Source organism: Homo sapiens, chromosome 15 (genome assembly GCF_000001405.40).
Source record: "Homo sapiens chromosome 15, GRCh38.p14 Primary Assembly".
Classification (NCBI taxonomy): Eukaryota; Metazoa; Chordata; class Mammalia; order Primates; family Hominidae; genus Homo; species Homo sapiens.
Genome location: NC_000015.10, coordinates 33,089,107 through 33,107,642, shown reverse-complemented (window position 1 = coordinate 33,107,642; position 18,536 = coordinate 33,089,107). Strand labels below are relative to the sequence as shown.

Below are 18,536 nucleotides of genomic sequence, written 5' to 3'. Positions count from 1 at the left end.
GTGATGTGAAGAAATCAGCCATTTAACAGCCTGGGGAACATCTTAGCCAAGAAAACACCAGTGTAAATGCCAAAGGCAGGAATGAGGTTGGTGTCATTACAAAACAGCAAGAAGGTGAGGGTGGCTGGAATGAAGTAAGGGAGAGGTTAGGAGATGGGGAGAAAGTGATAGGCGGGGATCAAGTCCAGTGATGTTCTTTAAGGCCAGGGATTTGCATTTTATTTTAACTATGATGGGAAGCCACTGGAGGATTTTGATCTGAGGAATGGTGTGACATTTTTAAAAGATCGTTGGCATGCTTTGTGGAGAGTATTGTGTCTAGGCACGAGTGGAAGAAGGAAGAAGAGCTGGGAGATTTTTTCCACTTGCCCAGATGAGAGAGGTAGTGGCGTAGACTGAGGTGGTAATGATGTGTGAAGTGATCAGATTTGGGATACTGTTTGGTGGTAGAGCAAACAGGTCTTGCTTATAAAATTTAGGCAGAATGTGAGGGAAAGAGAGGACTCAAGGATGAAGCAGGTTTTAATCTTAGAAACTGAGAGCTATTTAATTAGGTGGGAAAGACTGGGGGAAGAACAAAGTTAGAAGGAAAATAAAGAGTTTGGAATGAGTATTAGCCAAGCAATGAGTAGAGTACTTGGGTGCCTGTATGAGATAGGGCGAGAGCTTATGGCCAGATACATTAATTTGGAAGTCACTAGAGCTGAGATGATATTTAAAACTGAGACTGAATGAGATGACAGATGGAGTGAATGAAGACAGAGAAGATTCTGCACATATCTTTGGGGTGCTGAAACATTTAGAGCAGTGCTTCTCAACTAGGGGCGATTTCAGAGATTTTAGTTGGCCAAGGGATTGGGGAGGGGATGCTACTATTAACTAGTGAGTAGAGGTCAAGGGATGCTGCTGAACATCCTATTGTACAGTGCAAAGGTCATCCTCCCACAGAAAACAGTTATCTGGCCCAAAATTTCAATGGTGCTGAGATTTAGAACACTGATTTAGAAGGATGAGGAGCCAGCAAGGCAACTGAAGAGTGAACAGTGAACTCAGGAGAACTTGGATGGAAAGAGTGTTTTCTGAAAAGGAACTTCAAGAAAAAGTATGCATTCAACCCTGCTGGATGCTCCTGAGAAGTTCCATGAGATGATGAAAATTTGGGGATATATCAGAATGACTCAAAATTCCTCTAAAAGCTAATAGATTTAAATGATGTTTATACACTTTTGTAGAATCATGTACACATTGAAGAAAGCTGACTTTAAAAAAAAGGCCACAGAGACAATGCCAAATGAAATTTTGGCATTCTCGTTGCTTAGCGTTTTGTGTCTGTGTGTGTGTGCGTGCGTGTGTGTGTGTGTGTGTGTGGATTCTGGTTAGCTGTAATCAAAATAGGAATTTATTTACAGAACATTATGGTATGTTAAGAAGCAAGGAAAAATTGAATAGTAATATTGGGCCAGGTGGCAACCAGGAAGTACTGAGAATCCCATAAGCAAAAGTTCCTGGATATTTTCTGCCATTTATAAGATTCAGATCCAGCGACTCCAGATCAGGTTGAGACATGGCTGCTCAGAGCCTCCCCTTATGTACTGGGAGCAGTTCCGAGAGAAGGCAGAACAATCATGGGATGGACAGCCATTCTAAGGGGTACTTTCCAGCTTTCACCCCTTCATGCTACACATCAAAGAGCAGCAGACTCAGCTCTACCAGGCATAACTGCAAACCCTTTCTCACTAATAGGAGACAGTACAAGCTCAGACAGTAATGAGATCTGGAGTGATGCCATAGGCACCCTGTTCTTTGAGTCGTTGCTGAGAAGTTTTTTTTTTCTTGTCCTATTACAACATTTTATAACCTTATGAATCAATGGATACTTTTATTGTAAATAATATATCCCAGTAGTGAGACCAAAAAAAAGTGAAGAAAAGGAAAAGTAGATATTTATTGAAAGAGAAAACAGGAAGTAATTAATCTTTAGATATCCAAACAGTACATAAGAAAATACAGTTTTAGTCAAGATTCCCTATTTTTCCGCCTGATCTCAAAGCCATATAGTCTGTAAACCTTTCCCCAGTCATTACCCATTTCAAGTCAGCCTTGCCTTTAGGCAGCATTTCAGCTGGTCTGGATTCTTTGGTGAAGACAACCGTTTATTTCTGAGAAGTCTGAACCATTGACAGTCCATCTAGATAATATTATGGGAGTCTTCTGCTAAATTATCCTCTAGATTCCTCTGATACCCCACCAAATCCCCTACAATCCTATTTTTAATAGGGTAAATTATGCTAGCTATTAATTGCAACCCCTACCCTTTTATTGTCCGTTTTATTTTTTTCTTGACAGGAGGATCTCAAAGTGGCCCAAGGAAAGTCTTTGTTTCTAATTCTGAGGGATGACCCCTGCTCCCCAGTTCTGACCAGTGGGGACATAGCTCCATTTAGTAATGAAACATCCAGAGCACAGAGAGCACCTGTCTTAGAATCATTACAGCCAGGGGAAAAAAATGTTTAATATTAACCCTTTGGTTGCTCATTCCCTCTTTGAAGACAGTGAGAGAGATTGTGTCAGACCAGAGCATGTACTATGTAGTGAGATAGCTCCCCAGCTTGCAAAGTGCCACATCCCAGGGCATCTCCACCACCTCTCAGAGCTCTTGGAGAGGGAGAGGGTCATTCTATCTTTTGCTTATTGCTTATCACAGAAATCACCACCAATTAGATTCAGCTTTTTGCTCTTTCTTTGGATGGTGCAAATATTAAGACTGAAATTAGCATTGTTTTTAACATAGAAATGATATATTTTAATTTCTGCAAAGCAAGTAGTGTCAAATCCCTTTAGTAAAGTAATACCTTTACAAATTTATATCAAATTATCTCATTTTTCCTTTACTCTTTTTTCTTTTTCAGTTAATTCACACAATCCTTGGCTCCATGGAAAATCACAAAACTATTTGAGAATTACATTAGGTGGAAAACATTGCTTCAGGAATACATACGTATTACTAGCTTCCCTAGTAATTTTATTTTCATTTCCTTTAGCTGATTGAGTTCTCAGTGACTGGCGCTATCTTAGGTTCATCTCATGTTTCAGTTGTGCTGAGTGAGTCCTCTGTTGTATCATTTTCCCCAACCACATACCAGGGTGGTTGTGGCTTTCAAACTTCCTGCATCTCTATCAGTAATACATATAATTGTCATTTCAAATAAAAAGAAAATAAATTATTTGGTGCTTCTATTCCTTAGCAACAAGTCACTGTTGTGACTCATTTTAAATTGTAAATCGTGAAAATTTGGCAAGAAAGTCCACTTACATATTTATAAGTAAAATTTAAGCCCAAAGTAAAAACATGACTCCTGAAATACTTGTCAGCACCATACAGTTCAGTCTAATGCTCTTTGTTGTTTTGAAGCCATTATTGACAAATTTGTGCATCTTATCATTTCTTACCAATGTGAGTCTCAAAAGTTTCTATTTTATCATTTGGTGAAGTCGTTTTAGGGAATGTTTATCATGCACTTGACTGTATTGATAAAAGTTTTTTTCAGCTGACAAATATATGATGAACTCAATTTTATTCTTAGTACAGATTTTGTTAACTTTAAGGATCAGTTCCTTCCTGAAAATTTTGCCGATGAAGTTAATTTTCTTTTAGTAAATTGATTTTTCTTCTGACTTGCATTTTAAATTGGAGCTGTATTTTCTGGTAGGATTATGCCCCCAAGGCATGGTAAAATAACATTTGAAATTACCTCAGGGGGAAGAAAAGGGCAATTTTCAGATAGTGATAAGATGCTAAAAACAGGTTCCTAAATTAAAGATGATTTGGGTTAATTTTAAGCTTGACCAAATAAATTCAAGGTGTAATAGAATAGAAACCATGATAACTTTGCTGAACAAAACATTCTGAAAAGACCCTGGCACCTTAAATACTCTTCTACATAACAAAATGAAGCTCATTTTGGTGGATTAGGGTTTTTGTTTTTCTCCTTTGGTATATTTTAGTTTGAAGGGAGGATGAGAAACAACATTTCAAATATTTCACAATGGATAAAATTAGAGAACACATTTGTTGAACCATTCATTGGAACTCGAAAGTGAATCCTTTGGAGAAATGGAGCTCTGTCTCATTCTACCTTTTTGCCCTCTACAGGGTCTAATTCAGCACTGAGCAGAGAGTAATAATTCTAACAGCCAGTGTTTATGTACTATAGGTGCCAGGCACTGCTCTGAGTCCATTGTATAATATTAACTCTTTAATCTTTATAGTAACTCCAGAAGGTGAGAACCATTATTTCCCCCTTTCACAGAGGAGACTGGGACATAGAGAGGTTAAACAAATTGCCAAGGTCTCTTGGCTAGTAAGAGGTTGGAGCTGAGATTTAAACCAAAACTGTTCTGCTACAGAGTCTATGCTAAGCTCAATAGTAAGTGTTCATTAGGACTGATAAAAAAGAGTAGATCTTATCACCTGAAAAACCTGGATGTTCTGAACATAAAACTGTTCATGTAATGTATATTCAACAATTATTGTATTCAACAGATATTATTATATATCTACTAAACACAGGCACTGTGTCAGATGCTGGAGTGCCTGGTACTGGAGAAGGCAAGTAAGGTTCTGCCCCATTAAGCCTTTTCCTGCATCCTAAAGACAAATAAAAAATAAATTAAAGACATTCTATGGAGGAAAAATCAGATTGCCATGAAAATAACCACTGGAGACATCTATTTTAAACAGGAATATCAGAGAAGGCCTAATTAGTTCCATGGTTTGAAAATTTGCTAAAAGTACATTTCTTTACACTGAATACCCATATGAGAAAGTTTTATTATAAATTTTCATCTTGTGGAAATGAAATAAAACCAATGTCAGTCAATGTTTCCATAATCTGTCTCCCAACTTTAGGAGGTTTATGAAAGGATTAAAAAGCAGAAAGACATCATTTCCTTTGTGTTTGCTCATGAGTCATATATAACCCACGAGGCAAACTCCATGGGCTTTTCCTGCCATTGTGGTCTCCATAATACCCAATATCATTTAAATTTATGGTGGAATCTTTGCTTGTCAAGAAGAAAGAGAAGACAGGGAGAAGGAGGGAGAGAGGAAAAGAAGAAAGAATGAGGAAGGATGGAGAGAAGAAATCTGGTCATTTAGGGGTGACTTAAGACTGGGTTCACCTTCTACCTGATGGAACACTAGCTTCCATTTACTTAAATTTAGTTTTATGAGAATAGTCTAGCTTTGGAGTTTGAAAGAAAACTTTTATCTTTCTGCTCCCCAATGTTTTACTCCTCTATTTACATCCCTCCCTAGCACATCTTCTCATTTCAACAATAGCTCCTTCTTTCATTGAAAATTAAGGGGGAAATTATGTCTTTGAATTTGAGTATGAATGCTTCTGGAACTTGCTCAGTAATACTTACAAAGACACAGGTCCTGATATAGGGGAAAACCTCTGAAGACTCAGCTTTATGGTAAAGCAGATACACATAAAATAAATTAGCACATAACGGAGCGTCACATGCTGTAGTATCATACATGTACAGAGTACACCCAAAAGAATAGAAAAGGGGAGATAAACTTAGTTTGGAAGACACAAGTAAACTTGGTAGAGGAATTGAAATTTAAGGAGGGTGCTGAAGGATGGGTAGCACTTGTCTTTCAGATACTGGTATACAGTCAGTCCAAATAAAGTGAATAGACAAGGAAGTGTATTATGAGGAATGGAAAGCAGCCCAGTACAGCTGGAAGCCGGGATACCTATGTGGGGTTATAGATGGGGATTCAGAAGAATATGTGAAAGCCAAGCATAAATGGTCTCCCTATCCAACCAAAGAATTTGGGTTCTATTCTGTATGCAACAAGAAGTTGTTGAAGGTCTATGAGAAGGGAAATGTCATAATCATAGGACCGATGGGATAGGATTTAAAACAATGACATAAAGTCTCTTGTTGTTAGATCTCATGCTGCCAAAGAATGGCAGGTAAAAATAGCTGTATTTTTGGTTTAAAATAGAATTTATTTTGTGCTTCAGACTGGGATTTGAGTTAGGGGGCAGGGATTACCATGAAGAATTACAGCAAGCTTGTCCAACTCCTATCCCAGGGCAGCTTTGAATGTGACCCAATACAAATTCATAAACTTTGCTTAAAACATTTTTTGTGATTTTTTTTTTTCTTAAGCTCATCAGCTATTGTTAGTGTTAGTGTATCTTACATGTGGCTAAAGACAATTTTTCTTCCAATGTGGCCCAGGGAAGCCAAAAGATTAGACACCCCTAGATTACAGGATTATGTAGGTAAGTATAGTTTGAAATTAGAATACCATTAACTGAATTTACCAAATCGCCAACCTCCTCCAGTATACTCAACTTGCACATCTTGAAATAATACATCATTGGCAGATAGTCAGTGCCAGATTTGGCTCGACATGCAGCTTCAATTTACAGATGATTTTCAGTGTCTTACCATCCTTTGGTGGTTAAGGCTTGTTCAAATCCATTTTCTACCTTTTTACTTATTTTTATTGTTTTCTGATTATAAAATTAATAGTTGCTTCATTTTCTAAATGAAATTTAGAAAGTCCATTGAAAAAACGGTAGAAAGTACAGAAAAATATAAAGAAGAAACTTGTTGCTAACATTTTGATCTCTTTTATGTGTTTAAAATCAGGGTAAGAATTGTATTTCATACTTGATGTCATATTGTGAACATTTTCTTATGTATTACATATTCTTTGGAAACATGATTTTAAATAATTATATAATATTCCACAGTAATGACTATATCACAATCGATGGTGTTTTGTTTCCCACTTTTTTCTGTCATAGATTATATTTTGGTGGATACCTTGTATATTTGTAATAGATCTCAAATAACAACGATGATGATTCTTTATGATTAGCTTCCATTTACTTAAATTCACAGAAGGATAGATTCACACAAGTGGATTTTTATTGGTTAAAGGATATGAATATGTTTAATATTTTAGAACAGGGGTTTGAAAACTTCTTCTGTAAAACCAAATAGTAAATATTTTTGACTTTGTGGGCCGTAAGACCTCTGTTGCTGCAACTGCTTCTCTTCCTCTTTTTCCCTCTCCCCATCTTGACCCCTCCCCTCCTCCTCCCTTTCCTCCTTTAAAAATGTAAAAATGTACAAAACAGGCAGTAGGCTGTATTTGGCCTTCGGGCATAGGTGTCAACCCCCGTTTCAGATATTGCCAAATATCTTTTCAAAGTTGTAGACCAATTTACTCCTTTACCAGAAACCTTTGAGTGTATTTGTTTCACAATAGCTTCCCTGTGTTATCTTAATATTGATATGAGGACATTCATTTATTGAGGCATTCATATACTATATTATTTTTCCAAATGTGCAGTTTTATATTTCCTACCTTTTTTTTTTTTTTTTTTTACTGTGAAAGTTTAAGACTCTAGGCTCAGTTCAAAATATTCTATTCTACCAAAAAGATTCATTTCGTTAGGCACTAAAACTAAATAAATGTGTCTCTAATGTATAAGAAACTAAAATGGCCAAGAAGCACTCTCAGCTTCCTGTTGAGTGGAATGATGGCTAAGTTCCCTACTGGAAGCATTCCTCTTTTGGACACGAAGACCTCCAAACCCACCAAGCCCAAAGTTGCAATGACAGGAAGCAAAAGTTATGCAAATGATTTATTAGGTATAATAGTAAAAAGGGCCAGTCTCACCTCCTCTTTTGAGTCCCACAGCTGTGTATTCTGGGAGAAAGACATGTGCTGGAGAAATTGCAGAGATTTATGCTACCTCAAAGCTTGGAAAAATGCAGAAATGGTAACTCATACCATATTCCCACTTAAATTCCTTTTTGTTTAGTGAGAAAACTAGATGACTTTTAGAGAATGACTGGATTATTGGAAACATAAATGGGGATGCCAATTGCAGGTGCTGTTTCAGATATGGTATCCCTACCAAATATATCAACACAGCTCCTTAAATCTAATATGCATTTATTGATTTACAAATGCTTTATTTTCATATCAATTCATCCTGGAAAGAACGGCACTGTACCATCACTGTCTTCTTTTAGGGTTATGACAATTTTCCTATTCTCTTTCATGATACATTCTGAAAGGAGTTTGCTGATCTTGATAGCTCTCAAAAGATTATACTGGCACATCACATTGCTGCTATTATTCTAATTGAGCATGGTGAGCATCATGTAGCAATCACCCTAGATGCCTTAGTGATACATACAGAAGTGCTAGAAGGTAGGAAATAAACATGATTCCTGATGCCAATTATTGTGTCAGTCAGAGTCCTGACACACAGTACACTCGAAAGAGTTTATTGATAGATTGACTTATTTGAGACAGGGTCTCAGTCTGCCACCCAGGTTGAAGTGCAATGGCACGATCTTGCCTCACTGCAGCCTCAACCTTCCAGGCTCAAGCAGTCCTCCCACCTCAGCCTCCAGAGTAGCTGAGACTACAGGTGCGCGCCACCCCACCTGGCTAACTTTTTGTAGATTGGGTCTTTTTTTTGTAGATGGAGTTTTGTAGATGGGGTTTCACCATGTTGCCCAGGCTGGTCTTGAACTCCTGGGCTCAAGCAGTCCACCAGCCTCAGCTTCCCAAAGTGTTAGGATTACAGGCATGAGCCACCACGCCTGGGCTATTCAAGAGAGTTTAAAATGAAAATAACTGAAGAGATTGTGTGGAGATTGAAGGGCCCCAGAAAACAAGCATGGGCTTGTGAGCTTCCGAGGAACTAGCAACAGTAGAAAGCCCTTACCAACCTTAGGCCTGAAGGGGAAAGGGAGGAGAGAGTATTACAGGAACCTGGCAAGAACTAGAGGCAGGGAAAAGGGCCACGTAGTAAGAGCTGTGGTGGTAGAAGAAAGTAGCCATCTCCAAAATCTTGATTCAGCAGGTATGCAGTGACACAACCTCATCCTCCTGTTACTCTTTTACCTGCTCTTTATGTTAGAAATTCTCCTCCGCTGTCTCATAATCATTGGTTGTCTACCTGCGTGAGGTGTGGGTACTAAAAAGCTAACTGAAAGCCCTGAGTGCCTGTGTAAGAATACTGGATTTGAACATCACTGTAGGGTGATCAGGCCTGGCTGTTGATTGAGGAACCTCCTGTGTCATTGTCTCCCAGTTCTTTCTCTTGAGCTGGTCATGTTTCTCTCAGAATAATGTTGTAGTGTGTGCCTAGTTTTAGAGAAGACAAGTGTTCTGGAAGCCTAGAGAGGGGGAGGTGGGAGCTCAGGCCTCAGCATTCAGCATTCAGGAAGCATGTGGTCACTGAATCCACTTTGCTATGAGTTAATCATGCATCAGTTATGCCTGACATCTCCCCCAGTCCGGAGGAGAAATGCCATCAGCCCTATTGGGGGAGGACAGTCACTCAGCATGAAGTAAGGCTATCAGTTTCTCTCTGATTATTGAATTAGCTGTGTTCCAAATATTTTCTAATTTCCTTTGTGATTCTTCTTTGACCTATGAGTTATTTTGAAGTGTATGGTCTCATTTCCAAGTTTTTGGGATTTTCCGAATAATTTTCTGTTATCAGTACCTAATTTAATTCCATTGTAGCCAATGAATATATTTCATATGATTTTGATCCTTTTAAATTCATTGAGACTTGTTTTGTGGCCCAGTGTGCGGTCTATTTTGATAAATTCCATATGTACTTGCAAAAATACATATTCTACAGTTACTGTGAATGGAGTGTGTTATAAATGTGAGGTAAAATTGATGGGTAATGTTTAGTTTTTCTATATCTGTACTGATTTTCTGTCAAGCTGTTGTAATTACTAAGAAAGGAATATTGACATCTCCAAATATGTGTCTATTTATGTAATTATTTCAGTTCTGATAGTTTTGCTTCATGTATTTTGAAGTTCTGTTATTAATGCGAGGTACAAATAATGAAAATGTAGGCATGTTATGTCTTTTTGATGAAGTGACTCTTTTATCATTATGGAAGTTCTCTGTTTATCTCTCTGTCTGCCCTCCTCCCCACTATTTTTCCCTAAGGTGGTTTCGACACTTTAAAGTTCTCTTTCCACTGTCTTTTGGGCTGCATGTTCTGAGAAGTCTAGTGATTCTTTAGTTTTCTATACATAATATTTTTTCCTTGTCCACTTTTATAATTGTCTTTTTATCACTGATTTTCCAGTTTATTTATTGTAGTTTTCTTTGTATTTATCCTGCTGGGGAGTCATTGAGCTACTGTGATCTGTGGGTTAATAATTTTCTTCAAATTTGGAAAATTGAAGCCAATACTTCTTTAAGTATTTTTCTGCTCCTTTTAGCCCATCTCTCTCTCTCTCTCTTTTTTTTTTTTTTAAGACAGGGTCTCACTCTGTCATCCAGGCTGTAGTGCAGTGGTGTGATCTTGGCTCACTGCAGCCTCAACCTCCCAGGCTCAAGTAACAAGTGATCCTCCCACCTCAGCCTCCCAAGTAGCTGGCACCACAGGCGCAGGCCACCAGGCTTGGCTGATTTTTGTATTTTTTTTAGTAGAGATGGGGTTTTGCCATGTCACCAAGGCTGGTCTTGAACTCGTGAGCTTAAGTGATCCACCCACCTCGGCCTCCCAAAGTGCTGGGATTACAGGCATGAGCCGCTGTGCCCGGCTACCTATGCTTTCTACTGAGGTGATTTCTGGACTGAAAAAAATTACCAGAGCCCCAGTGACCTATGGGACATTATCAACCAGTCTGAAGTATGTGTAAATAAAAATGGGGCAGCGAGGCGAGTTGGTGCATGCCTGTAATCCCAGCACTTTGGAAAGCCAAGGCTGGCGGATTGCTTTAGCCTAGGGGTTCGATACTAGCCTGGGCAAAATGGTAAAACCAAAATCCAAAGATACAAAAATAAATAGCTGGGCATGGTGGTGCATGTGGTCCCAGCTACTTGGGAGGCTGAGGTGGGAAGATCACTTGTCACCTGAGCCCGGGAGGTCAAGGCTGCAGTGATCCAGGATCGCACCACAGCACTCCAGCCTAGATGATATAGTGAGACCCTGTCTAAGAAAAAAAAAAAAGTAGATTTGTTGGGAGAGAAAGTGATAAATCCGGTGCTGGAGTAAAGTACAGGACTCCTTCTCAGTACTAATGACTGGTGGAGGAAGGGAGATAGGAAAACTCTGGTGCCTAAGACACTCAGGCAAAAGGTGGCGATTTACGAATCTGGATGTGTTATAGAGGCCATTTCTTAGCAGCTCTGATGAAGAGTTCATCACTTTAATTCCAGATCATTGGGCAATCAAGGTAATATCCAGACTTTTCTGGTTAGAAGGGCAAAGGTTATTGACAGACGACTAGACCAGCCTTATTGGCTCTAGTGCTGGCAACAATATTGTGTAAAGATAATTGTTAGACCAAACACCTGGGATGGAGCTAAGGCAAAGGTGGGAACTAAGATTATACAGCTGTTTTTCTCAGAATTTTATATCACAAAAACTTCTGTCAGCCATCAGGGATCAGCTTGTTTCTTCCTTTTGATGATAGGAATGAAATAAAGAATGTCCTTTCATTCTCACTATGTTGCAAGGACACTCAGAGCCATATTGTATTTTCAGTCTCTTAATTGTATTGTGTATGCTCAATCACATTTAATAGTAAATGTGCCTTCTTTTTTTTTTTTTGGTATTTACCTTGTTACGTATATTCCTTTTTGTGAGTTTGCTAGGATCATTTCTTTTTGGAAAGGAAGTTTTTAAAAAAATCATTTATTATATATTTCATAATCCAGGGCTTAGTATTTTGTAATTTTTTCTCTACTTTACTTCCTTAGCTATTAAGACAACCAGTAATTACATCATATGTCTTCAAGAGTTGGATTTCCCACTGGTGCAACCATCCTCATAATAATTGGAATAATGTGACATAAAAGGGAAAATGTTATTCAAATTTACTTGTAATGAATGCCATATGACTTTTTTTTGCATTCTTATTCTTCAATAATATTTTTGGGGCCAGGCACAATGACTTATGCCTGTAATCGCAACACTTTGAGAGGCCAAGGTGGTAGGATCACTTGAGGCAACACAGCAAGAGTCTATCTCTACAAAAAAAAATTAAAAACTAGCCTTGTGTGGTGGTGCACACCTGTTGTCCCAGCTACTTGGGAGGCCGAGGCAGGAGGATTGCTGAGCACAGGAGGCCAAGGCTACAGTGAGTTGTAATCATACCACTGCACTCCAGCCTGGGTGACACAGTGAGACTCCATCTCAAAAATATATATACATGTTTTTTGTTAACAAGCAAGTATATTCTTTCTTTTTTCTTTTTGTTTTTTTTGAGACAGTCTTACTCTGTTGCCCAGGCTGGAGTGCAGTGGCACAATCTCGGCTCACTGCAACCTCTGCCTCCCGGGTTCAAGCAATTCTTGTGCCTCAGCCTTCCAAGTAGCTGGGATTACAGGCACCACCCACCACACCCAGTTACTTTTTGTATTTTCAGTAGAGATGGGGTTTTGCCATGTTGGCCAGGCTGGTCTCAAACTCCTGACCTCTAGTGATCTGCCCACCTCAGCTTCCCAAAGTGCTGGAATTACAGGGGTGGGCCACTGCACCCGGTCATATTCTTTATAACCAAACATACTAAAATTTTTTGATCACTTAAGTATTTGAAGTACTAACATCTAATGTTTTGAGCATTTATTATCTGGGAGTAGACGGAGGCTTTTAATGTCTCAGTGAATCCTACAATCTCCTAAATTTGTTCTTTCCTTGATCTTTTCTGCATCAGGACTTACCTAGGTGCTCTATCCATTGTTAGCATCATCTGTGCCCCTGTTTTTCAAGTGTTAAAATATCCAGTGTAACTATGGCCACACATAAGTTTCCTAGTCTGAGTAATACACATCCCTCAACTAGTATTCTTCACAGGAGAAAACCGTGGAAGGAGGTTAATAAAATAATCAAAGAGATATTTATATACTTCCTTAAAATGCTATTTCATTTAAAGGCATGACTATAAATAGTTCCATTCATGGCTCTAGGCTCCTATGTTTGACTTTCTGGGAAGGAGTATCATAGGGTATCTATGAACGACCCTGAGGAGCTGTTGTTTCCAGAGATGATCAGCCACTTACTTGGAGCTGTTGCATTTGATGACGTGAATTCTATTTTTGGAACATGAACAGATTTAGGATCTGCTGCACTGCAGTGCAACTGAATTCTTATAAGCTTTATTGTTATTCTCCTTATCTTCTCTGACAAAAGAAAAATAGCCTTTCACATGACTGTGTGATGTTGGATATGCCCTCATTGTATATAGAGTTCTTTACTTAAAACAGGAAATTACTTGCTTCTCCCATCAAATCTATCTATCCCCCAGCCCAGGAAAAGTCTTCTGAAAGAAAATAATTGTGAGCCTAGTTCAATATCAGACATATTCTTATTATCTTCATTTTATTGATGAGGGAAAAAGACTCAGGGAGTTTTGGTAACTTCACCAAGGTCAAATAATTAGTAAAGGTCACAGCCAGGAATTTAGCCCACATGTTAAAGCCCTGTACCCACGCTCTTAACTTGTTCACGTCTGCTTCTCTCTTAGCCCTCAATATTCTCATCTGGAGACTGGCAATAATATCTTTCTCTAAATAGCATAAAGAACTTAGATTTTAGTTCTGCCTTTGCTGCTAGCTGGGCATGTTGGAAATACTGCAATCTTCATGGGTTTTGGTTCTCTCAACTATAAAATGAGCATGTAGGTGGGGAGATATACAAGATTCTTTCCAACTGTAAATTTGTTTTATTTTATTTGAATTTAAGCATGATTTTAGAAATGCAAACTACATTGCAGTTGCCTGATGGCTATGGATGCTTTCCTCATCAATGTTCAGACTTACAGAGCTTGCTCCCCACTCTCTGCTACTTTTTGATTTGCCATCAGCCTTTCTCTGCCTGGCCACACCTTCCGCCTGTCCATCTTTGCTCATTCATCATTTCTCTCCCCACATACTTCCCAGTGAGGAGTTAGAGGCTGGGGTGGATAGATACCACACCTTCTCAGAATTGTATCTACCTAGGTGGTTTGGTGACATTGTGTCATTTAACACTGCTGAGAATGAAAATGGGGGCAGTTGCATTAGTGAGCATTGATCTCTAATTGACAGATACCAGCCATGAGACTATACTTTTGCCACAGCTCTGTCTTCTTAGATACAGACATGAGTGATTACACACACAGCCACACATCCACTCCACAAGCACTTAGCAGTGTCACTTTCCATTAGCTGTACATCTAGATTGCTGTCTTTCTTGCTGGTAAGTACACGTTTGAATAACATAATGGAAGATATGTCTACCTGTACATATCAGTTCTGATATTCACGGCTGAGAAAACTTTACCTCTTAGGGTTTATTTTATGTAGTGCCTTGGGCACTACAACACAGGAGCTAAAACTGAGGAGAGTTTTAAGCTTAGGGTTTTTGTTTTTTCTCTCCTCTTTCTGGATGCATAACCACTTCGTCATTGCTGTCAAGTGAGGGCTTGGTATGATGGGAGAATTAGAGGAAACAGCTTAAAAGGCACTGTAATTTTGTCCCTTAGGGACTTTTGTCCAGATCTGCTGGTTATATAGTATGTTCACAGACTTCCTTTAGGAAATTGGTATATTTTTATATGTATATTCTTAGACGATTAAAGACAATATCTGGTAAATAACTTTTTAATAAAATGTAGTTTGTGCATGAATCTTGGTATGAATGAGTAAATGGGTGTGCCATGAGTTTTTCACTTGATTTTTCAGATCCTTGCAGTGCATTGAATAATTTTTTTCAGTACAAGTTACAAAACAAAAACACTGTTGTGTTTAAGCCCTCAGCTGAAAAGGTTTAATGTCTTTAATAATTACAGTGCTTCTAGTGGGAGCAGACATGATAGTGTATGAGGCAACTATTTCAACAAATAGGCCTCAAATCTCAGTGGCTTATAATAAATATGTATTGTTTTTACGTACTGGCCTGGGAGTTGGCTAAGGTTCACTCGATTGGGCCTGGGTTTGACTGAGCTTGGCTCCAGGCTTGCAGGACTGTGCCTGGGACAGATGTTCCACGTCTCATTCGAAGCTCCCGAGGACCATGTTCGTCTCATGGTGAGGGCAGAAGCACAGGGCGGGGCATGAAAACACACCGTGCGTCTTACAGCCTTAATTGGCACACTGTCACATTGTTTACATTCAGATGGCCAAAGGAAGTCACGTGGCAGGGGAAATAGACCAGAAAAGGCCGTGGGTGCGTGATCATATTGCAGGGAGGGAGTGAAACAGTGGGAACAATAATCCAATGTACCCCTGCTAGACAGACTGATTCTATTTTGGAAAGATGAGCTGTGGACACTGCCTCCTGTTTTAAATGGCATATTATTACCTTTGCATTCTGTCTGCTTCTGTTGTTTTGATAATTGACAGCAAAACCTCAGTCTGATGTTGTAGGTTAGCATCAGGAAGTGCAGCTCATCATGTGAATGGCTTTGAAAAGCACAGACTTTCAAAGTGGTTCCAAGGTAAGTCACCCTACCTTTACTGTGACTGTGCTGTACGTTGTATTAACCGTGGTCAGCTGTACAGATAACCTGTGTGTGTATGTGTGATCGATCAAACTGTTGAAATGTCTTTGAGGAACAAAATAACTAATACTGAGTACAAAACAGGTTTGTAGTATGCACATGAAAAGGAAAGACATGTTTAAACTGATAAGACTGATTCAGTTTTTCACAAAATATTCTCTAAAGATCTAACACCCCCAAATCTATTTGTGTCGGAAAATTAAATGACAGTTGACTGTTTTGACAGAATATATTTATCTAATTTCAGATGATTTTTTTCTCTTTTTATTAAATTTATTCAGCTGGAGAGACTAGCTTGGGTATTACCCATTTTAATAAATACAGACGTGCTTTATTTTTGACTGAAAAAAAGTTGTTTGTATTACTAAAACTCTCCATTCCCAAATTATTTTATAAATACATTGTGGTCGTCAGAATGTTGACTTTGTCATTTGTCCTAACCTACTTTGTCAGACTTTTGAGAATAATGGTTTTATGTTACTTATTTCAGTTTTATGTTACTTATGGTCCTTTTCTGTCCAAATGATTCTTGCCAAAATTATTATGCATCATGGTTTTACCTTGCATGTTTCCTTCATAGGGATATTGTCTGGTTAAACCTTAGGTATCAGAAATTAACTCTTTAAAACTAAAACCATTTCCAGAAAGAAGATAACTTTCACCTTGACATTGTTTTTGCTCTGCGTAGAGAGTGAATTGGATTGCACACCTCACCTCATTAATGCAGTATTGGATAGCCACTGCAGGTGTGTGAGGGGTTTGCATGTGTGTTTGCATAAATATGCATGCATGTGTGTTTCAAGGACCCCAAATCCTTGTTGTTATGGGAATGTTTCACTCTCTTGTACCTAAATGATGAACTTACACTCACCAGACAATGTGCCTCTGATGATACAAATGTCTTACCTCAGGTGTTGTACATTGTGTTTTGTGATACATATTATATATGTTATGTTTTATATTGTTTTATTATTCTGTGCAAACTTTACCCAAAGCCAGCAGCTACTTCAAAAGAAAAATGAAAGGTGGAGGGATTTAAAATGAGGGATGTGATTAGTAACCAAAACATCTTGGAAGATGAGGTAGTACAGTGAGAGTATACTGTAAATTTTAAAAAATTTATGCCAAAGGTGAATAGAAATAGTCCAGGAGGAGGATGAGCCATATAAATAGAAGTCAAAGGAGGTCTGAGCTTTAATTTCTTCATCTGTTAAAATATAAGCAGTACTATCTTCCTCAGAGTCAACATGAGCATAAAGCAAAGGTGCTAAGCAGAGTGCCTTCTCCCTGAGGTTCCTTTAGGCATTAGTTCATTCCTATGTCTTGAGACTAGAAGTGGGTCACTCTAAAGCATGTGAGACCCTAAATGAAAGGCCAGAAGACTGTCTGTAGACAGTGGGTAGCAAGGGGATTGAGTGGAAAGGCACTTTGTTCTAAGGGATCTGACCGAGATGAAGGAAGAGCCTGGGTATACTCTTCTAGACAACTGTGTCTGCAGGGGGAACATAGACTGGGGAAGCCCTGGACTCTCATTTTTCTCAGTGGTTGCAGAAAGGTGTTTTGTGGACAGCCTGCTAGAGGGCAACTATAGACACACTGTGACCTGCATCATTCTGAAGTGTGATTGAAAACTAATAAACCAAACAGGCAAACAACAGCCAAACCTTAGCTGTTTTCAAATTTTCTTCCTTCTAAAATGCTACTCTAATATAAGCATGCTATCTCGCAGTTCCTTTCTGAGCTGACTTTTACTCTCAGCTCTAGTTTCGTGTAAGTCAGGTTTCAGCATGGTAGAAGCCATTGGTTGGCTTTGGGTGACTGCCAAATAGACTCTTACAGGGATTATGTGTAATAAACACTCTGTCGTATATTCAACAGTGATCTCTATTGCAAAATACACTGAGCCTAAACCTTTAACTTCTGCCTAGTGGCTTAAAATTTTGCCAAGGTTGCTTACCAGGAATTAAAAGAGGACTAGGAACTTGAGTGCTGTATGAAACATTAGAAGTGTCCAGTACAACATTAAGTGGCTTGCGACATGTTTAGCAGATGTCCCTTTAAATGGATTCTGTGGTCAAATAAGTTTGGAAAACCCTATTATATAGAATTAGGTTTTCTGTACTAAAGGGCATCCCAAGGTCTTTAATATGCTAACATGAATCATGATTCTTTAAGAGATACAGTATGTAGCTTTTCTCACACTTACTTGACCGTAAAATCCTTTTGTTATAGAACACATATTGCCATCTTAAGAATAGAATGTCAGGCAGAGGCCATAGTGTGGTCATTAAAAGCACGGCCCTCTATTGTTTAACTGCCTGGGTTCAAGTCCTAGCTTAACCATTTACTGATTTTATGATTTTGAGCAAATTGCTTAACTTCTTTGTACTTCAGTTTCCCCATTTAAAATGAGAACACTAATGATACCTAACTATATGTTGTCATAAAAATTGAACAGAACTAAAAACAGTGTCTGGCACATAGTTAATGATTATCATCCTATGGCAAACCTAAACTTGCCTATAGTTTAGGTTAGAATAAGCTAGACTAATACCTTTGATTCTAGAGATGACAAAAGCGAATCCAAAATGGGTTTCTCATGCACTACTCACTCGTTCAACAAACTGTCCAAGTCCGGTATGCACCATGCATAATGATTCTGTTCCCAGAAATGAAGATGAACAAGGCACAGTTCCTGCCCTGGAGAACACACACATTAGTGACTTGGCTCAGATGACGCTGTTTAGGAACTGTAGGAAAGCCAGCAGGCCAGACCTCCTGACTTCTGTCCCCTAGCTCCTCTGATTTCATGCTGAGATAGAATGACCCATGCAACCTGTAAGCAAGAATATGGGGCATAGAGTACAGCCAATAGACTTGGGGGATGAGGGCGTATGTTGTAAATTTTTGTTGGTGTGATCTAGAAATTGTCGGGAGAAATACTTTTAAAGGAAAGCAGTCTC

The 18,536-nt window shown here is 38.7% G+C and overlaps 1 protein-coding gene across 12 annotated transcripts in view; it reads left to right on the top strand.

The window, feature by feature from the left end:
• The window catches only part of FMN1 (formin 1), a 429,171-nt gene that overhangs the window by 87,072 nt on the left and 323,563 nt on the right, over window positions 1-18,536 (top strand). The gene's annotated exons all lie outside the window — the stretch shown is intronic.